The sequence below is a fragment of the Homo sapiens genome, chromosome 3, assembly GCF_000001405.40.
Source record: "Homo sapiens chromosome 3, GRCh38.p14 Primary Assembly".
NCBI classification, from domain to species: Eukaryota; Metazoa; Chordata; class Mammalia; order Primates; family Hominidae; genus Homo; species Homo sapiens.
The window spans coordinates 46,362,377-46,382,345 of record NC_000003.12 but is presented as its reverse complement, the minus strand read 5'-3'; the positions used below and the strand labels follow the sequence as shown (position 1 = coordinate 46,382,345).

General features: G+C 43.0%; 1 protein-coding gene and 1 long non-coding RNA gene across 5 annotated transcripts in view, besides 2 other annotated features; one reads left to right on the top strand and one right to left on the bottom strand.

Moving 5' to 3' along the window:
- Nucleotides 1-18,362, top strand: part of CCR5AS (CCR5 antisense RNA) — a 43,083-nt gene extending 24,721 nt beyond the window's left edge. For both annotated transcript variants that reach the window (NR_185891.1, NR_125406.2), the window contains 2 exons: nucleotides 10,929-11,102; nucleotides 17,301-18,362. This is a non-coding gene — a long non-coding RNA (CCR5 antisense RNA). The remainder of the gene's footprint in view (nucleotides 1-10,928; nucleotides 11,103-17,300) is intronic.
- Nucleotides 1,618-2,119: an enhancer, noted in NCBI's record as "NANOG hESC enhancer chr3:46421718-46422219 (GRCh37/hg19 assembly coordinates)". NCBI's record gives its function as "activates a minimal SCP1, AML or CMV promoter by ChIP-STARR-seq in primed H9 embryonic stem cells {active_cell/tissue: H9 hESC(primed)}" and the evidence as "EXISTENCE:reporter gene assay evidence [ECO:0000049][PMID:30033119]".
- Nucleotides 3,731-3,840: a silencer, noted in NCBI's record as "silent region_14288". NCBI's record gives its function as "represses an Ori minimal core promoter by ATAC-STARR-seq in GM12878 lymphoblastoid cells {active_cell/tissue: GM12878}" and the evidence as "EXISTENCE:reporter gene assay evidence [ECO:0000049][PMID:35858748]".
- On the bottom strand, nucleotides 6,140-12,204 carry CCR5 (C-C motif chemokine receptor 5). Of its 3 annotated transcripts, none has more exons than NM_000579.4 (3): nucleotides 12,148-12,204; nucleotides 11,358-11,646; nucleotides 6,140-9,454 (listed from the first exon to the last, which is right to left on the bottom strand). In NM_000579.4, exon 3 carries the CDS (start codon nucleotides 9,441-9,443, stop codon nucleotides 8,385-8,387), a length of 1,059 nt encoding a protein of 352 aa, NP_000570.1. In that variant the 5' UTR covers nucleotides 9,444-9,454; nucleotides 11,358-11,646; nucleotides 12,148-12,204; the 3' UTR covers nucleotides 6,140-8,384. The 3 variants fall into 3 exon arrangements, with proteins under 3 accessions (NP_000570.1, NP_001093638.1, NP_001381712.1); NM_001100168.2 differs by having other exon boundaries at nucleotides 11,358-11,411; NM_001394783.1 differs by lacking the exon at nucleotides 12,148-12,204 and having other exon boundaries at nucleotides 11,358-11,400.

The window sequence follows — 19,969 nt, the reverse complement described above, 5'->3', positions numbered from 1 at the left end:
TGTCTGATTTACACAGGGCCCAAAAGACTGGTTGGACCAGGTATGCCATTTACATAGCACGGGAAGAAGCTGGCCATCTCACCCTAATCTTTTATTATGCAGAAGGGTTCTCTACCTGGCCCGTGCCATGTTGCCTGTTCCTTTACTGTACACTTGGTTGACAAAGAAAAGGGAAGATGGAGAATCCATGTTGAACATGCCTGGCCCCCAGATAGCCTTTTCCTATTGGCACAGCTGCCGGCATTCACCCGTGCAAGCTTCCAGCTTGCTTATCTATGTCTGCAGCTCAATTTTACAGGCTTCTCTTTGTTAGCAAACAAATGATTTTGGGGCTGCTTTTTGTTAAAAGGCAAATCTTACCGAGGACTCTCTGACCCTCACTAACCACCTAAATAATTTCTTTTTAGCTCCTGTATCAGTAACACCCCAAATTACTACTGGAAATCCTTTTAGATCCTGAGAGCCAGAGACGTTAAGTCACTTGCCCAAGCTCCCACAGCCCCAAGGCTGGAACTCGAGTCAGTCTGACTTTCAAGTCCCTGCCCTCTTCTCTGCTGGGCTCTGCTTTTTGGCACAGGAAGATTGAGTTAGCCAATCAACAGAGTCCTTATTTGATTATATGTCAGGAAACCATTAGGATTCTCCTAAAAAGGATTTTTGAATAGTCTTTGGTAATGGCAGTAAACCTAAGTAGAGGAATTTTAAAGTGAACATAGACAATATTGAAATTCTCCCATTAGTTTCTTATTTTTAATCTTAATTACATTTTATTATATTCAGCGGTATGCAGTTTCAAAAGGAGGAATTGTCTTGACTCAAAACCAAAAAGATTAAGTTATCAGATATCTGCTCTTCAGTAAATAGTAGGAGGTGTTTGTGTGTGTGTACATGTGTTTAAACCATATGCCAGGATGTATAAGAGTTGACAATTTAAATCTAAATTCTAATTCTCTGCAGAATTATCATTGCCTGATCAGGGCTGGCATGAGTTCCCAGTTCTTCAGGAATAATGCTTTCATGGAAAGAGTTAAGAAGGATGGCTCACTGCAGGGATAAGGAAATGGGGGGAGAAGAATCCTTTAGCCACATAAGCAAAATCTATATTTATTTGAGAAACATCTCAGACAGGCCCTTTTCTATACAAGAGACTTCTTCTCTATTGAATTTGAAGTTGCCAAGCTCAGCATGGGCGCCAGACATCCCACTTCTGTTTACTTTTCACTTGGAAAGGAAGGGTGAAAACATAACCCAAAACCAAAAATGAAAGTGAAATACTTGGAGCCTCAAATACAGATCTTTGGTATTGCCAATGAAGTCTAGATTCACATGCTTTAAAAAAACCAGCTTGGGGAATGTTCTGTTATGAAAGTTGAGACTCTTCCTGGTGCACATGCCACCCCAGGCCAGGCAAAGTCTTGCTCAGACAACAGCCCTTGCTGTCAGTCCAACAGGCTTTAGGCAGTATTTCTCAGACTTGGCTACACTTAGAATCACCTGGGGAGCTTCTACAGTGGGGAACCACAGGGCAGCAATGCAGGCAGATCGAATCAGAACTATTTGAGGTTGGATTTAACCTCACTATTTGTAAAACTCCCTGAGTGACTCCAATATGTTGGCTTTTGTGAATTTATTAGCACACAGGTGCTGATCGTGAAGGGAGTCACGAGTGCTCCTACTTTCCCTACTCAAAGGCTCATCGCTGGCGTGCCACTGGGAAGCACCATCAAAACATGCCGCTGTTGGAGCCCACTCCAGACCCACGACATCAGAGTCTCTGGGGCTTAGGGCAGGCAATGCTCTTCATTTATAAAGCAAAGGGGTTGGGCTCACTGGTCCTCAACAACCTTTTTGTTTTCAAACCATAGGATTCCATAAGAGGGTTTGATGTAAACGAGGTGATAATGTAACTGAGTATTCCCTTTTTTCTAAGTAAAAGGGAATAAGTTACAATTATTTTTTAAATTATTTTCTCTTTTCTCCTTTCCTCTTGTACCCCACTTTCTACTTAGCCCTTTAGAAATGCAAATCTCACCTTTTACTTCCCCTTCACCAGACATTCTTTACAGGGCAAGTTCATCTAACTATATGCTCCAAGACAGAACTTTCTAGAGAGTTAACAGCTGATTTACAGACCAAAGCATGATCTCCATGGAACTCTCACCCTTCAGGGGGTTGCCATGGAACTCACCCTCCAGAAAGGCAGGTTGAAGGCATGCCCACTATCCACTCCCACCTAGAGAGTTTTAGGCCACTTTTTCAACTTATTTCTGCCTATGAAAGTGCCAATTCAACTGCCTGGATAGATCAGGCACCATGCCAGTGTGCAGACCCCCTGCCCTTGCTCACTTCCTCCCCTGCCTTTTCAAAGTGCCTGCTTTCTGCTCCAAAAGCAAAGCAGTGCATTTACTATTTATTTATTTATTTATTTATTTATTTATTTATTTATTTTGAGACAGAGTCTCACTCTGTCACCCAGGCTGGAGTGCAGTGGCTAGATGTCAGCTCACTGCAACTTCCACCTCCCAGGTTCAAGCGATTCTCCTGCCTCAGCCTCCCGAGTAGCTGGGATTACAAGCACCCGCCACCACGTCTGGCTAATTTTTTGTATTTTTAGTAGAGGCAGGGGTTTCACTATATTGGCCAGGCCGGTCTTGAACTCCTGACCTTAAGTGATCTGCCCTCCTCGGTCTCCCAAAGTGCTGGGATTACAGGTGTGAGCCACCACGCCTGGCGAAGCAGTGCATTTAGAGGCAGGAGGCTGCACCTCTTCCCTGAAGGAGGTTTGGAATAAATCATTTTCTTTATATCTGACCTCGCTCTTGTTAATTGGATTCTGCAAGCAATGAGTGACTAATCTGCGGTTCAGTTACAATAACAATAATAGAGAAAGGAGAGTGCGAATGATAAAGAAATTTACCATGGTGTATATGTGCCACATTTTCTTAATCCAGTCTATCATTGTTGGACATTTGGGTTGGTTCCAAGTCTTTGCTATGTTCATGTCCTTTGTAGGGACATGGATGAAATTGGAAACCATCATTCTCAGTAAACTATCGCAAGAACAAAAAACCAAACACCGCATATTCTCACTCATAGGTGGGAATTGAACAATGAGATCACATGGACATAGGAAGGGGAATATCACACTTTGGGGACTGTGGTGGGGTGGGGGGAGGGGGGAGGGATAGCATTGGGAGATATACCTAATGCTAGATGACGAGTTAGTGGGTGCAGCGCACCAGCATGGCACATGTATACATATGTAACTAACCTGCACAATGTGCACATGTACCCTAAAACTTAAAGTATAATAAAAAAAATAGAAGTAAAAAAAAAAAAAAAAAGAAATTTACCAACATCAAATCACATTTGATTATTTCAAACACTTGGTACCCACAATCATCAGATATACAGGATTATAGAGAGAAACAAGGGAGGAGCTTGAAGCATTTTATGCAATATGAAAAATGCTTAGTCACAAAACATTTTCTGATCTTGTTGCAAGCTCATGAGAGCAGCACACTGCAGAGATTGGTCTGGGTGTTGGAACCTTCATTCCACGACAGGCATCAACCTGTACCCCGAATGGAGACTCCTCTCGGTTTTCAGAAATGATGAATGTGAGCTGTGCACTACCTACCCTGAGCCGCTGTGGAAATACCTCTTTTTCACAACTGGGATGGTGCCGGCAGAGACAAACATTAAAGAGCTGAATGTGAAAAGCCTCCTCGTGTGTCTTCTCCATGGCCAAGTCTGGAAGTTGAACACCCTTGCTGGTTTGCCAATGTGGCCTCGCGGGGGCAGTATGACCCAAGGCTTGCCATGGCTTCCTAGCTTGTAAAAGATTCACACTCTTCCATGAATGCTTTAAAAAAACTAGTGACCACCCAGAGAAACAAAAATAAGTCCCCAAAACATGACAGAATCACAATGACACAAAACGGATTATCAAACCACGTAGTAACAATAAGGAGGCAAATAGAAGTCAGTCTTGTAAAATTGCTTATAGAAAATTAGGAAGGAAATATATATTATATGCATGCATATTAATATAAAGATATATGTCATATGACAATATATATTAATTATATAAAAATATGTATTTGTATACAGAATCTTAAATATTAAGGGTTGACTCTGTTTTGGAAAAATACAAGCAACTTTTACAGTGAATTTTATTTCAAAGTATAGGAGCTATCGAAATGTTTTCACGTTTTTGCCTCTTCTGTTCAGCCTTATCCCCGAGGGTTGTGGAAAATCTCCACGTACTCTGACAATAAGTAAGTGGATGTGTTAACAAGCTACAAGGAACTGCAGTTAGAAAGTTCATGATTTGTTGGCCGGGCACAGTGGCTCATGCCTGTAATCCCAGCACTTCGGTGGGAGGCCGAGGCGGGCAGATCACGAGGTCAGGAGATCGAGAGCATCCTGGCTAATACGGTGAAACCCTGTCTCTACTAAAAATACAAAAAATTACCCAGGCGTGGTGGTGCATGCCTGTAGTCCCAGCTACTCAGGAGGCTGAGGCAGGAGAATTGCTTGAACCCGGGAGGCAGTGGTTGCAGTGAGCCGAGATCGCACCATTGCACTCCAGCCTGGGCAACAGAGCGAGACTCCATCTCAAAAAAAAAAAGGAAAGTTCATGATTTGTTTTCTGGTTCACATTTCTGCTTCTAGCCCCCAGGGTAGTTGGTGGTAATTCTTATGTTTTCATTATAAGTGTTAACACTTGAGCAGTTATGTTTGCATTTGGAGCTCTATCTCTCCCCGTGATAGAAAATAAATGATTTGTAAATTTAATCATAACAGTTGAAATGCCATTGCATCTTAATTTATTCAGAGCGATTTAAACTAAGAACCCCTGGAGTACAAAATGTAAACAGAATCCCAGTTTATGAATTTTCACATTACTCTTCCTAAGGACAGTCACCTCTACTTTGACTTTATCCATGGCATGCAATCTCCTCTTTGATAGAGACCTCTGGGTGGAGACAGAAGGTACGTTCACCCCAGAGTTGGTGAATAAAGTCAGATCCTGAAGGTCGTGAGTTGAAACTCCAAGGAGTAAAGGCATGGGCCTGGGGAGGTAATGGGGACGGGCTCTGGAAAGGCTGGCAACACTGCAAATAGCTTTTCTTCGTGCTAACGTTGGAAGACATTTAATAAGATGGAAAAGGAAAAACGAGCAATTGACATGACTGCATGTATGTCAGCCACAAAAGCTGATACCTTCAAACCTCCCTGCCGCACTGCCTTCCTCCTATGGGATGGATCTCCCTTCTCCATGGCCCCTTCCTTCTACCCTAACCCCAGCCCCCTCCTGCCCTTCCTTGGTTCATTCTACCTTTTACCCTAACAGATGAAAGGCAATCCTTCAAGTCTTGGTAGGGACAAGCTGCCCTTCTAGTCAGATCAAGCTGTTCTGTCTTCTGCTCATTTCATGCACCTCCAAATAGGACCACGGGCAGCTTTTGCATCTGCTGCCCATGACCTGTGCTGGGAGATGAGTGTGCAGTGACTGAAAACCAGCATGTTCAAAATGTGAACGTGACCCAGACGGGTCCCCTCCACCTGTAGCACCTGTCCTCTCTCAGGGTAAGAGACTCGTGCACATAAATCCAAATGTACATGATTGTCATGACTGCAATTAGAGCCAAGTTTTGGGGAGGGATTTTAAATGAAAGAAAAGCATCCTCATTCTCACATATGATGTGCCTACAACTCAGGGCTGCGGGTAAGTGACCAGGCCATGACGTTGCATATCTTCTTCATTTTCAAACATAGACAACTAACTTATGGCACCAATTCTCTTTTTTAAAACATGGCAATTCTTTTGAGTAGTGGAATTAAAATTTGAATTTTAAAAGTTTTCAAGTCAATTGCTCAGCAACCAGCAACCTTACTCTTAGAGGTACCATCTCTAAATACAAACTATTCTGGCAATTTGTCTCAGGAAAAGGGTCAATTTTAAAAATTATTTAAAAGAAAATACAAAAATACAATTATCTCTCTCTTTGTATACATCACACACACATGCACACACACTAAGGAAGAAAACAGCTGCTTATAAAATGCTCTGGCAGTTTTATGTGCTATTCTCTAAATGTACACTTGACTGAAAGAGCAAGAATATAATGAATTATTTTAGAAGGTGTTTTTTATTAGATGCATATTTTCTTTCAAGCAATTTGTAACTTTCACATACATAAGAATATGCAAATACTAAGATGTCAGAATGTCTTTGACTTGGCCCAGAGGGTAGGGTCCTATGCTACTGTTGCACTCTCCACAACTTAAGAGCAAAAGGAAAGACATTTCCCTTCGTTGCTTCCTGCTGACAGCCACAATGCTCACCGTTCATATTCAGAGGCTGAGAAAGTCAGTAGCACCTCTTATTATTCTGACACCTTCATTCCCTGAGTAGTTCTCACCACTTACTATTCCCTCACCTTACCTGTACTATGATGGTTTTAGCCATCCCCCAAATTCAAAACAGTCTCAAGTATGTGCACAATCATATGAGACAGAACAGAAAAAAACCTCTCTCTCTCCCTTTGAAATGAATATACCCAAACACTAAGGGGTATATTCATTTCAAAGGGAGGGAGAGACGATTTTTTCTGTTGCTTCTGGTTTGTCTGGAGAAGGCATCTGGAATAAGTACCTAAGGCGCCCCCCCCACCCCCATTCAGTCTGAAATACGGAGGCTGGTAAATTGTACTTTTGTGGGTTTTAAGGCTCAAGGCAGCTTATTTCCAAATGAATATGTCCCTTCCCCCCTTTGCCTATTGACGGTTAAATGCAGAAAATGATACCTACACTTGTGTGCACTGGGCAGGCAGCATCTTAGTTTTTCAGGCTTCCCTCACCTCTATGGGACCCCTTTGCTCAATGCTTTGCTCAGTGCTATCCCTGAATGAGTAACTAAGAGTTTGATGCTTATTGAATGTGTAGTATGTGCTAAATGCTGCCTGTGGTTGCCTCATAGAATCCTCCCAACAACCCATGAAATGACTACTAGGTAATCAATCCTCACCTAGATCTCATGTGTGAGCTGAAGTATGTTCCTAGACCTCATACCTCGTGTATTCATAAATCTAGTCTCCTCCTGGAGACCCCTCAGTATTTCAGCTGGGATGGGAAGGAAATCTATGAAGTCAGAAGCATTCAGTGAAAGACAGCCTGGAGTCTGGGTGAGACTGTGTTCAAGCTCTGCAAACCAGACCCATCCTTTTACACCAATCCATCTTCTTCTTGACCTAAACCTCCTCCTCCTCCTTCTGTGCTTGATGTCTTTTCAAGGGTTTCTCCAATCTGCTTGAAGACTAGGGATTCTCTCTGACTCCTCTCTGACCCTCACTTCCAACCCAAATCCACCCCAGTTCTGCTGACTCTGCATCCTCATATGCTGCACGAATACCTCCCTCCTTCCCATCCTTACGAATACCTCCCTCCTTCCCATCCTCACGCCTTGAGCTTAGCAGAGGCCATCCTCACCCTGACCTGAGGGCTGTTGGTGGTCTCCTTGCCCTAAATGCTCATCCTTCCTGACCCTCCTTTGGCCACAGAGTAAACCTTCTGCAACACCAACCAGGATCTCCCTGCTCAGCTCATGACTTAGACGGAGCAATGCCGTCAAGGTTCTTCATGATCTAGCCTTGTCCTTCCTCCCCATGTCTTCCCAACCAGCTCTGTCTCCTTCTACAGCCAAGCTTGCCCATGCAGTGCTTGCAGTGAGGCTTCTGTCTTTGCCAGCAATAGATGATCCAACTCAAATTCCTTCTCATTTAAGAAGCTTCCCCAGCTCTCCCAGGCCACAAGTCTCTCGCCTGGTTCTAAGTCAGTGAAACTTATTAACCATACCTTGGAGGGGAAATCACACATGAAAAGTGTCATTTCTTTACTAATCATATTCATGTCTTTTCTCCCCATAGCAAGACAAAGACCTGTTTTAAACACATTTACAACCTATATGTTGCCTTGTACTAGGTAAAAAGTTGTACATTTCTGAAATAATTTTGGTATTTCTGTTCAGATCACTAAACTCAAGAATCAGCAATTCTCTGAGGCTTTCTTTTAAATATACATAAGGAACTTTCGGAGTGAAGGGAGAGTTTGTCAATAACTTGATGCATGTGAAGGGGAGATAAAAAGGTTGCTATTTTTCATCAACATATTTTGATTTGGCTTTCTATAATTGATGGGCTTAAAAGATCTAATCTACTTTAAACAGATGCCAAATAAATGGATGAATCTTAGACCCTCTATAACAGTAACTTCCTTTTAAAAAAGACCTCTCCCACCCCACCCCCAGCCCAGGCTGTGTATGAAAACTAAGCCATGTGCACAACTCTGACTGGGTCACCAGCCCACTTGAGTCCGTGTCACAAGCCCACAGATATTTCCTGCTCCCCAGTGGATCGGGTGTAAACTGAGCTTGCTCGCTCGGGAGCCTCTTGCTGGAAAATAGAACAGCATTTGCAGAAGCGTTTGGCAATGTGCTTTTGGAAGAAGACTAAGAGGTAGTTTCTGAACTTCTCCCCGACAAAGGCATAGATGATGGGGTTGATGCAGCAGTGCGTCATCCCAAGAGTCTCTGTCACCTGCATAGCTTGGTCCAACCTGTTAGAGCTACTGCAATTATTCAGGCCAAAGAATTCCTGGAAGGTGTTCAGGAGAAGGACAATGTTGTAGGGAGCCCAGAAGAGAAAATAAACAATCATGATGGTGAAGATAAGCCTCACAGCCCTGTGCCTCTTCTTCTCATTTCGACACCGAAGCAGAGTTTTTAGGATTCCCGAGTAGCAGATGACCATGACAAGCAGCGGCAGGACCAGCCCCAAGATGACTATCTTTAATGTCTGGAAATTCTTCCAGAATTGATACTGACTGTATGGAAAATGAGAGCTGCAGGTGTAATGAAGACCTTCTTTTTGAGATCTGGTAAAGATGATTCCTGGGAGAGACGCAAACACAGCCACCACCCAAGTGATCACACTTGTCACCACCCCAAAGGTGACCGTCCTGGCTTTTAAAGCAAACACAGCATGGACGACAGCCAGGTACCTATCGATTGTCAGGAGGATGATGAAGAAGATTCCAGAGAAGAAGCCTATAAAATAGAGCCCTGTCAAGAGTTGACACATTGTATTTCCAAAGTCCCACTGGGCGGCAGCATAGTGAGCCCAGAAGGGGACAGTAAGAAGGAAAAACAGGTCAGAGATGGCCAGGTTGAGCAGGTAGATGTCAGTCATGCTCTTCAGCCTTTTGCAGTTTATCAGGATGAGGATGACCAGCATGTTGCCCACAAAACCAAAGATGAACACCAGTGAGTAGAGCGGAGGCAGGAGGCGGGCTGCGATTTGCTTCACATTGATTTTTTGGCAGGGCTCCGATGTATAATAATTGATGTCATAGATTGGACTTGACACTTGATAATCCATCTTGTTCCACCCTGTGCATAAATAAAAAGTGATCTTTTATAAAGTCCTAGAATGTATTTAGTTGCCCTCCATGAATGCAAACTGTTTTATACATCAATAGGTTTTTAATTGCCTACATAGATGTCTACATTGAATTAACTCTCTTTTTGGCCAAGCAATGAAGTTTTGTAGTGAAGGGAAGGTTTGCTGCTAGCTTCCCTGTCCACTAGATGGAGAGCTTGGCTCTGTTGGGGGAATTCATGAAAGCACCATCTCACCAAATAAAATCTTGTGCTCTATAGCACCATGGAGTGAATGAAGCTTTGACAACAATTTTAAGAAACTGGGTCAAGCATGGTGCAGCTCAGCCTTTTTGTTGTTGTTGTTGTTGTTGTGAGACAGGGTCTCACTCTGTCGCCCAGGCTGGAGTGCAGTGGCACGATCATGGCTCACTGCAGCCTGGACCATCCCGGGCTCAAGCAATCCTCTCACCTCACCCCTCCAAGTGGCTGGGGACTACAGGCGCCACCACACCAAGCTAATTTTGTTTATTTTTATAGATACAAGATCACACTATGTTGCCCAGGCTGGTCTCGAACTCCTGGGCTCAAGCGATCCTCCTGCCTCAGCCTCCTAGAATGCTGGGATTACAGGCATGAGCCACCATGCCCGGCTGCAACTCAGTCTTAACATTTTTATTGACGCTAGAGTTAGCCCACAAAGAACATGCACTATGAGCAAGCCAGTAATAATTAAGAGGCCTCGAGGGCACATACTGGATGCCAATCACTGTTCTAAGCATCATACCCATTCATTCATTTAATCCTTAGGGCAACCTTATGAGGCAGGAAATATTTTTCACATTTTGCAGACAAGGACCTTGAAGCACAGAGAGGGTGAGTAACTTGCTCAAAGCCACACAGCTAGTAAGCAACCGATTTTGAATGCGGGAAGCCTGCACTCTTAACTACCATGCTACCCTCCCTCTCAGTCCTCGAAAAGAGAATTAAAAGGCAAGACCATCAGATGTTTGGTGACATGATGTAGTCAGAGTGAAATGGCCGGGTGCCCAAGTCCCAGGGAAGGTCATAGATGACAACAGCCAATTGTAAAATCCTCACATTTTCTGTGAAGTTTGTGTTTGTAGTTTCTGAGTTGCCACAATTAAGAGTTGTCATACATACCCAAGAAATAATATAATAAAAAATGTTTCGTCTGCCACCACAGATGAATGTCATGCATTCTGGGTAGTTTAGTCTTATAACCAGCTGTCTTGCCTAGTCTATTTAAGTTCAGCTGCTCTAGCTGAGAATTTTCTCTTATTAAACCCTGTGAGTCTCAAACTCCCTGCACCTTAGACTAGGCAGCTGAGAGAAGCCCCTAGAAAAGCTCATTTTTAATTTTGAACCATAAAGAATTATATACTAACTGTGCCATGAAACTGATATATTAGAGGAAAATTTTATTTGGCGTTTGTAATTTAATATTAATTTTGACCATTTTTAGGCTTCCCTCTTGTCTGGAGGAAAAAGAAAAAAGAGAACCAGACTTAGACACAACTTCTTGTGGGCACATATTCAGAAGGCATCTCACTGGAGAGGGTTTAGTTCTCCTTAGCAGAAGATAAGATTTCAAGATTTCAGCTAAGACTCATCTCTCTGCAAATCTTTCTTTTGAGAGGTAAGGATTGTTAGTTATTAAAATACTATTGCTCCCTTTAAAGTCTTTCACTCACAATCATGTTTTGTATCTTTGATGTTATAACCGTCTGAAACTCATTCCAAACTGTGACCCTTTCCTTATCTTAAAGATTATATTTTAAGATAATTGTATGAGCACTTGGTGTTTGCCAAATGTCTTCTATGGGTTTCCTGTAAAGTCTTTTACTCATCTCAGAAGCTAACTAACAGGCCAAGCAGCTGAGAGGTTACTTACCGGGGAGAGTTTCTTGTAGGGGAACGGATGTCTCAGCTCTTCTGGCCAGATGAGCTGTGCAAATCAATCATATAGACAGTATAAAAGTAGGAAATGCTGTTTCTTTTGAAGGAGGGTGGAGTTAAATCATTAAGTGTATTGAAGGCGAAAAGAATCAGAGAACAGTTCTTCTTTTTAAGTTGAGCTTAAAATAAGCTAGAGAATAGATCTCTGGTCTGAAGGTTTATTTACGGGCTTTTCTCACTGGATTATTTTGTTTTTGTTCTCTGCTCATCCCACTACACAGAATCTGTTAGAAAATATAAAGAATAAAGGATATCAGAGCTAGAAGAACATTTACATTCATCTAGTCAAAAGCCCACATTTTAGTAAAAGAAATTACTATCCAAGAAGCAAATGATTTGTACAAGATCACAGGGCTTTTCAACAGTAAGGCTAAAAGGTTAAGAAAATTCTGATTATCTTAAGAGTTGCTATTAATTAAAGCCAACTTAAACCAACTTTAAATGTAGAGGGGGATCCTGGACTTCACATTAACCCTGTGTCCCCTTTTTCTCCACTCTCCCCGTATCCCCTATCCCACCCCAACCCCCACACAGATGCTCACCACCCAATATTATTGTTCTCTGTAAACGGAAACAACCTGTTGTCTAAAGAGTTTTAACTATGGGCTCACGGGTGAGCTAAACAGGTTTCCCATCTTTTTCTGGACCCAGGATCTTAGTGGGGATTTTCACTCTGTTCACTATTTTGTTGCCCTTCAAACCAGTAAGCATTTATGAGGACTCACACTATGCCAGATACATAGGTGGCAGGATTCTTCACTCCAGATATAATCTATCTGAAGCTATGAGAAATTTTCCACATGACATAAGTATATGGTCAAGTTCAGGTTCTTTATGACTATACTATATACAGTCATATCAAGCTCTCTTGGCGGTTGGTGACATCTGAAAATCTCAAGTATTGTCAGCAGAGCTGAGAAGACAGCAGAGAGCTACTCCCGAGCCACAAGATGCCCTCTGGGCTTCCGTGACCTTGGCTCTAGAATAAAAAGCTTTGGCTTGTGATCTCTAAGAAGGCAAATGAGACCCCAAACAGCAAAATTACGTGCCCCCAATCCTACAGAGGCAGACTAACCCAGGGGCTAAGCCAGTGGCCTCTGTAGTCAGACTGCCAAGCTTGAAACCTGTCTTACCCTCAGCTTTCTCGTCTGGGTATTGGGCTGAATGACAGTAGTCATTTCATGAGTTGTTGGGAGGATTCTATGAGGCATCCACGGCCAGCATCTAGCACATACTATGCACTCAGTAAACATCAAACTCTTAGTTACTCTTTCAGCAGTCCTTTGTCAGAGAGAGTTTATTTGATCAAATCCTAATAAAATTGGTTCACCGGAGTCTCTGTCTATAGCAGATTAGTTTCAGCAAACTAGAAGCTGAAAAGGTAAAGCTAATTGCTGGTGCTTGGAGAATAGAAAGAAATGACTGCTTGGGAAAAGCCAGAACAGTATAGAAATAGCCCAGCGATCAAGACACCCCCACCCCCGCCCCATATAGGGACATATGTCTGTGCTACAACAGAGCTCAGTAACATAATCATAACAAGGACAGCGAATCATCGAGAAAATGTTCTAGTTCATCCCATATGTGCAATTCAAAAGGCATTGATTAAGAACTGCAGTCATGCTGCTGGGTTTAACCTCCAGCTTCATTACTGCTACTTGGCTCTGACCAAATTATTGAAGCTCTGTGCCTTAGTTTTCTTAACTGTAGAGTGGAGGTTTTAAAAAAACCCAAATACAAACTTACTCAATATGCCTGTGGTGGAGAGGGAATGATAACAAGTGTAGAGCCTTTTGGGCACCCACCCTCGGGGGACTGTTTAAGCAGGGAAATATAAAGTGTGCTTTTGAAAGAGTTCAAAAATAGGTAACAAATAAATTAATATAAAATTTTATAGAAAATAGATAGCATAAATACAACTTTGGTTTTTCGAAAGATAGATAGCCTTGTATTCACTGGTAATCCACTTGTGCAGAACCCCCGGAGGCTGCCGGACCAACACTGTATTTCTGTTTGTGGCAATTGCTGGTTCTTACTTTCACCATGCAGAGCTGAGGCTTTGCCATGTTCTGTTTGTCTGTCATTAGGGTATTGGAGGATGTGAAGACATACTCACCCCCAGAGGGCAATGTGGGCTAGCGGAGCAGGCTCGGAGTCACACACGCTGTGCTGCTGACTTGCTGTGTGACCTCGGCAAGATACTTCCACTGCCCAAGCTTCCATTTCCTCATCTGTTAAATGACGTGCTAGACCTGGGGCAGCTTCCACCCTAAATACTACATGATTCTATGGCCAAGTTAGTTTGAAAAATATAGGCTAGATGGGAAACAAGGTGAGGATTCACAGGCTGAAACAAGGAAGCACAGCTTTGCAGTGTGCGTTACTCCACTTTTGTGTTTCTGGTCCAGAGGTGTGTTCTAGTAACCACTCAGGACAGGGGGGTTCAGCCCAAGGATTCACAAGAAAGTGGGGACCCATGGGAAATTCTTCAGCATTTAAATGAAATGTTGTTCTGGATACAATAATGACAACAAGCTAGCAGCTTATCATGCTGTGACTTAGTTGCTTGGTGTCTGCTACTCTTTCTACTTTGTCCCTCTCAGTTTGCATGGCTCTTGTTCTCTTTTTATTATTAAGTACATTCGGACACCCCATAGGAAATGAACTTTTGATCACTTTGTCACTCTAGACTCCATGCCCATATTGGAGGGTGTTTCGTGCCATCCCTCCTTTTTGGGGCCTTTTTGTCTTTAAACAGCTGCCCCATGTCTAGTCACTGCACCTATGTTCCAAGCATTGCTTTGCTGTCTCCTTGCTCACACCATTTCTGGACCATATTTTCAGAGCATCGTCAACAGGATGGGGAGAATGTTAATTATTCACTTTGGGTGCAAGGGCCAACTACATGAGCACAGTGAGCAGAAACCCTGCCATACAGCAGCTGTTGTGAAAATCCCTGGGGCCTGAGTTGACTCCTGGTCAATATCAGTCAACAGTGAGACGGGCTGTAAAAAGAGCAAATGAATCTTTTATTTTTAAAAACAAATGTCTAGGCCAAGTGCGGTGGCTCATGCCTATAATCCCAGCACTTTGGGAAGCCAAGGCGAGTGGATAACTTGAGGTCAGGAGTTTGAGACCAACCTGGCCAGCATGGTGAAACCCCATCTCTACTAAAAATACACAAAATTAGCTGGATGTGGTGGTGCGCCCCTATAGTCCCAGCTACTCAGGAGGCTGAAGTGGGAGAATCTCTTGAACCCAGGAGATGGAGGTTGCAGTGAACCAAGATTGGGCCATTGCACTCCAACCTGGGTGACAGCAAGCTGTGTCTCAAAACCAAACCAAACAAACAAAATGTCTAATTATAAAACCAACACATGCTCATTGTATAAAATTGGGAAAAACAGAAAAAAGGAAAAACTTAGGTACATTCTCACAGTATCAAAACAATGTCTTTTAAAACATGATGTTTCAATCCTGACTTTTCCCATGCACTTTTCGATTAATTGTTCTCATGCATATACCATTCTGTAGGCGGCTTCTTTTTTTTTTTTTTTTAGCTAAAGATTATAGTGTAGACATTTTCCTATATTATTAAAAAATTCTTTATAAGTGTAGTTCTTTATTATTTTTATTGAGGAAGAACACACTTAGTGGTACAGCTTGGTGAGTTTTGATATGCACACATGCATGTAACTACCACTCCGGATCAAGATGATAAGGAACATCCCTATCACTTCAGAAGGTGCCTTTTGCTCCACCCAGAGGTAAGGGCCACTCTGTCTTCATAGAGATTAAATAAGCCTGTCTTTAACTTCTATAAATGGATTAAAGATACTGTCCTCTTTCCTGTCTGGCTTCATTCATTCAACAAAATAGCCTTAACTATATTTAACAGAGCTCCGTCATTGACAGTCGGGCTCTTCCCGTTGTTCAGTAGACAGTCGGGCTCTTCTCGGTTGTTCAGTCATGTGAGCAGTGTCACACTGATTGTCACCATCAGTGCTCTGACATCCCTGTCAAGAAGTACACTCTTCCTGTCCCTAGAGCCACCTTTAGCAGGAGAGCCAGGGAGTCCCCCTGATCCTCACAGAAATAGGAAGAATCTACCCCCATCCAGTGCCACGCTTTGTTACCCATGTGCCTCAACAATGACACTTGAGTCTTATGACACCCACCAGGTGACAGCCTCTTTACCTTCTGCCTCAGACACCTATCATCGTGGGTGGGTTGGGAACTCACCATGCTGTTGTCTCCATCCCTGCCTCTGTCCTGTAGACCTTTCCCAGGGTAACCCACTTCCCAGCCCATGAACCACATCCCCCATAGGGATTTGTGCAATTCATCAAACCAAGTGGACATGTGCAGGCTGTCTACCTCATGGATTCATTAGATAGGCTCAAACCTGGTGGGAGCCCCTTAGCTCAGCTGAGAAGTCTTCTCTATGCATTTAGGGGATTTCTTTCAGATCGGTGTCTAGGCGTGAGGCTAGTGCCATGTAGGTACAGTAACAGATGTCTAAGCTAACAGTTCAACAATACAATAGACTCACTGTGATCTTAAGTGAGTCAGATCATACCTGGAGCTCTATACTCAGCTCTGCACATAACACGAGATTATGTAGGGCTTTTCTGGTTGTCCCAGAACTAGCAACTATGGCCTAAGGCTGAAGGCAAAGAAGTGTTATGCACTCACAGTTCCAAAGAAAACCACTGACACCTGGGCTCAGACACCTCTCCCAGGGCTTACTAGAAGATGACAGCACCAGCCCTGTATCCACACCCATCACATCAACTCCTCTCACTCCAGTCTGTATACGGAGGCAATTAGGATAATGAATGGATTGTAGAAGTGGGCAGGATTGGTGGGGAAGCGAGTGAGGGCATCTCTCCTCAAAGCCAAAGAAAGGGGCTCTGAAGAAACCATATGAGGAATGGGGACTTGCAAAAGGAGAGGCCAGCATGGGTGGGGCCCCCACTGGGCAGCAGACAAGCTGAGCAGGGGGAGTGGGGATTGGAGAGAGTTAATAGGGGTAGAGATAGGGTGTGTAAGTGAGGCTGCAAGGATCAAGAGTGCCCCTGGGTCAAGTGGCTACCACAGGAGGGAACTGGGCAGGAACTGTCACATTGGGTCCTACTTTCTGGGTGAGATGAGCCCAGCACCCAGAAAATGGTGGGTTGGAAGAAGTCAAATCAAAGAGAGATCTCACATATCTAGATCCATTTGGAGCCCCCACCATATCTAGGCCCTTGGATGTGACCACACAGTGTGCCTGCCACTCTGGGGCATCTTGACCAACACAGAGTGGACTGTGGCAGTGGCCAGTTAGCTAAAGAGGTTCAGGCACACCTTGGTGAGATTGTGAGTTCAGCTTCAGACCACCACAGTAAAGCAAATATCTCAAAAATAACCTTTTTGGTTTCCCAGTGCATATAAAAGTTGTGTTTATCCTATACTGTAGTCTATTAAGTATGCAATAGTATTATGTCAGAAAAACCAATGTGCATACCTTAATTAAAAATATTGTATTGCTAAAAATGCTAACCATCATCTGAGCCTTCAGCAAGTCATAGTGTTTTTGCTGAAGAGGATGGCGGTCTTGTTTTGATGTTGATGGCTGCTTACTGATCAGGGTGGTGGTTGCTAAAGCTGGGGGTGGCTGTGGCAATTTCTTAAAATAAGATGACAATGCAATTTGCCACCTTGGTCGACTCTTCCCTTCACAAAAGATTTCTCCATACCATGTGATGCTATTTGATAGCATTTTACCCACTTCTTTCAAAATTGGAGTCAATCCTCTCAAACCCTGCCACTGCTTTATTAACTAAATTTATGTAATATTCTAAATCGATTGTTGTCATTTTAACCGTGTTCACAGCATCTTCACCAGGAGGAGATTCCATCTCAAGAGACCACTTTCACTGCTCATATGTAAGAAGCAACTCTTCATCTGTTCAAGTTTGATCATGAGAGTGCGGCAATTCAGTCACAACTTCAGGCTCCACTTCTAGTTCTAGTTCTCTTGCTGTTTCCACCACATCTACAGCGACTTCCTCCACTGAAGACGTGAACCCCTGAAAGTCATCTATGGGGGTTGGAATCAATGTCTTTCACACTCCTGTTAATGTTGGTATTTTGACCTCCTCCCATGAATTACAAATGTTCCTAATGGCATCTAGAATAATGACTACTTTCCAGAAGCTTTTCAATTTGCTTTGCTCAGATCCATCAATGGAATCACTATCAATGGTAGCTATATAAACTATATAAGGCTATATATATATATATAGCTATTTCTTAATAGCCTTATGAAATATATTTCTTAATAAGACTTGAAAGTCTTGGTCCATGGACTGCAGAATGGATGTTTGTGTTAGCAGGGATGAAAACAACATGAATATTCTCGTACATCTCCAACACAGCTCTTGATCGACATGGTGCAGAGCAGTAATATTTTGAAAGGAATCTTTTTTTCTGAGCAATAGTTCTCAATAGTGGGCTTGAAATATTCAGTAAACCATGCTGTAAACAGATGTGTTGTCATCCAGGCTTTATTGTTCCATTTATGGAGCACAGATAGAGTAGATTTCGCATAATTCTTAATGACACCAGGATTTACAAAATAGTAAATGAACATTTACTTCAACTTAAAGTCATCAGCTGCATTCACCTCTAAAAAGAGAGTCAGCCTGTCCTGTGGAGCTTTGCAGCTTGCCTTGACATCTCCTCTCTAGCTGTGAAAGTCCTGGATGGCATCTTCTTCCAACATAAGACTGTTTTGTCTACACTGAAAATCTGTTGTTTCGTGTAGACACTTTCATCAATTATCTTATCTAGATTTTCTGGATAACTTGCCACAGCTTCTCCCTTTGCACTTGCTGCTTCATCTTGCATTTTTATGTTATGGAGATGTTGTCTTTCATTAAACCTCACAAACCAACCTCCGCTAGCTTCAAACTTTTCTTCTGCAGCTTCCTCACCTCTCTCCGCCTTCATAGCATTGAAGAGAGTTAGAGTCTTGCTCTGGATTAGGCTTTGACTTAAGGAAATGTTGTGGCTGGTTGGATCTTTTCTCCAGACCACTCAAACTTTCTCCATATTAGCAATATGGCTGCTTTGTTTTCTCTTCATTTGCATGTTCCCTGGAGTAGAGCTTAAATATCCTTCAAGAACTTTTCCTGTGAAGTCGCAATTTGGCTAACTGGTGCAGAGGTGAGCTTTTGGCCTTGACTTTCAATATGTCCTCCTTACTAAGCTTAATCATTTCTAGATTTTGATTTAAAGTGAGAGACGTGGGACTTTTCCCTTCACTTGAACACTTAGAGGCCATTGTAGGGTTATTAATTGGCTTAATTTCAATATTATTGTGTCTTGGGCTGGGCACAGTGGCTCATGCCTGTAATCCCAGCCCTTTGGGAAGCTGAGGCAGGTGGATTGTTTGAGTCTAGGAGTTTAAGGCCAGCCTGGGCAACATGGCAAAACCCTGTCTCTCCTAAAAATACAAAAAAAAAATTAGCCGGGTGTGATGGTGCACACCTGTAGTCCCAGCTTGGGAGGCTGAAGTGGGAGAATCACCTGAGCCTGGGGAGGCAGAGGTTGCAGTGAGCTGAAATCACATCATTGCACTCCAGCCTGGGCAATCAGAGTGCGACTCTGCCTCAAAAAAAAAATATATATATATATATATATAATTGTTATAAATATATATATATATAATTGTTATATATACATTATTGTGTCTCAGGAACAGGCAGTCCATGGAGCAGTCAGAACACACACAACATTTATTGATTGTTTGCCATCTTACATGGGTGCACTTCATGGTGCCCCAAAACAACTACAATAGTGACATCAAAGATCACTGATCACAGATTACCATAACAGATATAGAAATAATGACAAAGTTTGAAATATTGGGAGAATTACCAAAATGTGACACAGAGATGTAAAACAAGCACATGCTGTTGGAAAAACAGCACCAATAGACTTGCTCGAGGCAGGGTTGCCACAAACCTTCAATTTGTAAACAACAACAACAACAACAAAAACAATATCTGTAAAGCACAATAAGACAAGGTATGTCTATATTTGCCCTTTTTCCTAACACTCCTCTCCCACTTCTCAATGCTAGTCCATGCCTAGAAGAGGGAGGTACAAGAATTCCCCACAAGGTAGACCACTAGGCACGTGCTGTGGAGGATGGAGCAGGAGGGGACATAGGGACAGAATGCACCCCCTCCTCTAGGCAGGGCCCTCCAGAATCCAGTCAACCCTAAGGCCCCATTGAAACAATGACTGGAGAGAAATGAAATAATTTCATATTGTGAGCTGATTACATTAGGATGTGTTATAAGGGATAGTATGAAATAAGATGTTAGTCCATGCCCTTACCCTTGCTTGCTGAGCTGCTGGGCCTGCAGAGCCTTTCAGGTGCTGGGAGGGAGAGGTTTTTCCCAGCATAACCCTCGGCTCACATCTCACTGTGGCTCCAGGCTGGGGCTGCCAAGGCCGGACCTTGCATTACAGGACTCTGTTTACACACACACA

Coding starts and splice junctions, on each gene's coding strand:
- CCR5 (NM_000579.4), bottom strand. CDS start 9,443: ATGGATTATCAAGTGTCAAGTCCAATCTATGACATCAATTATTATACA.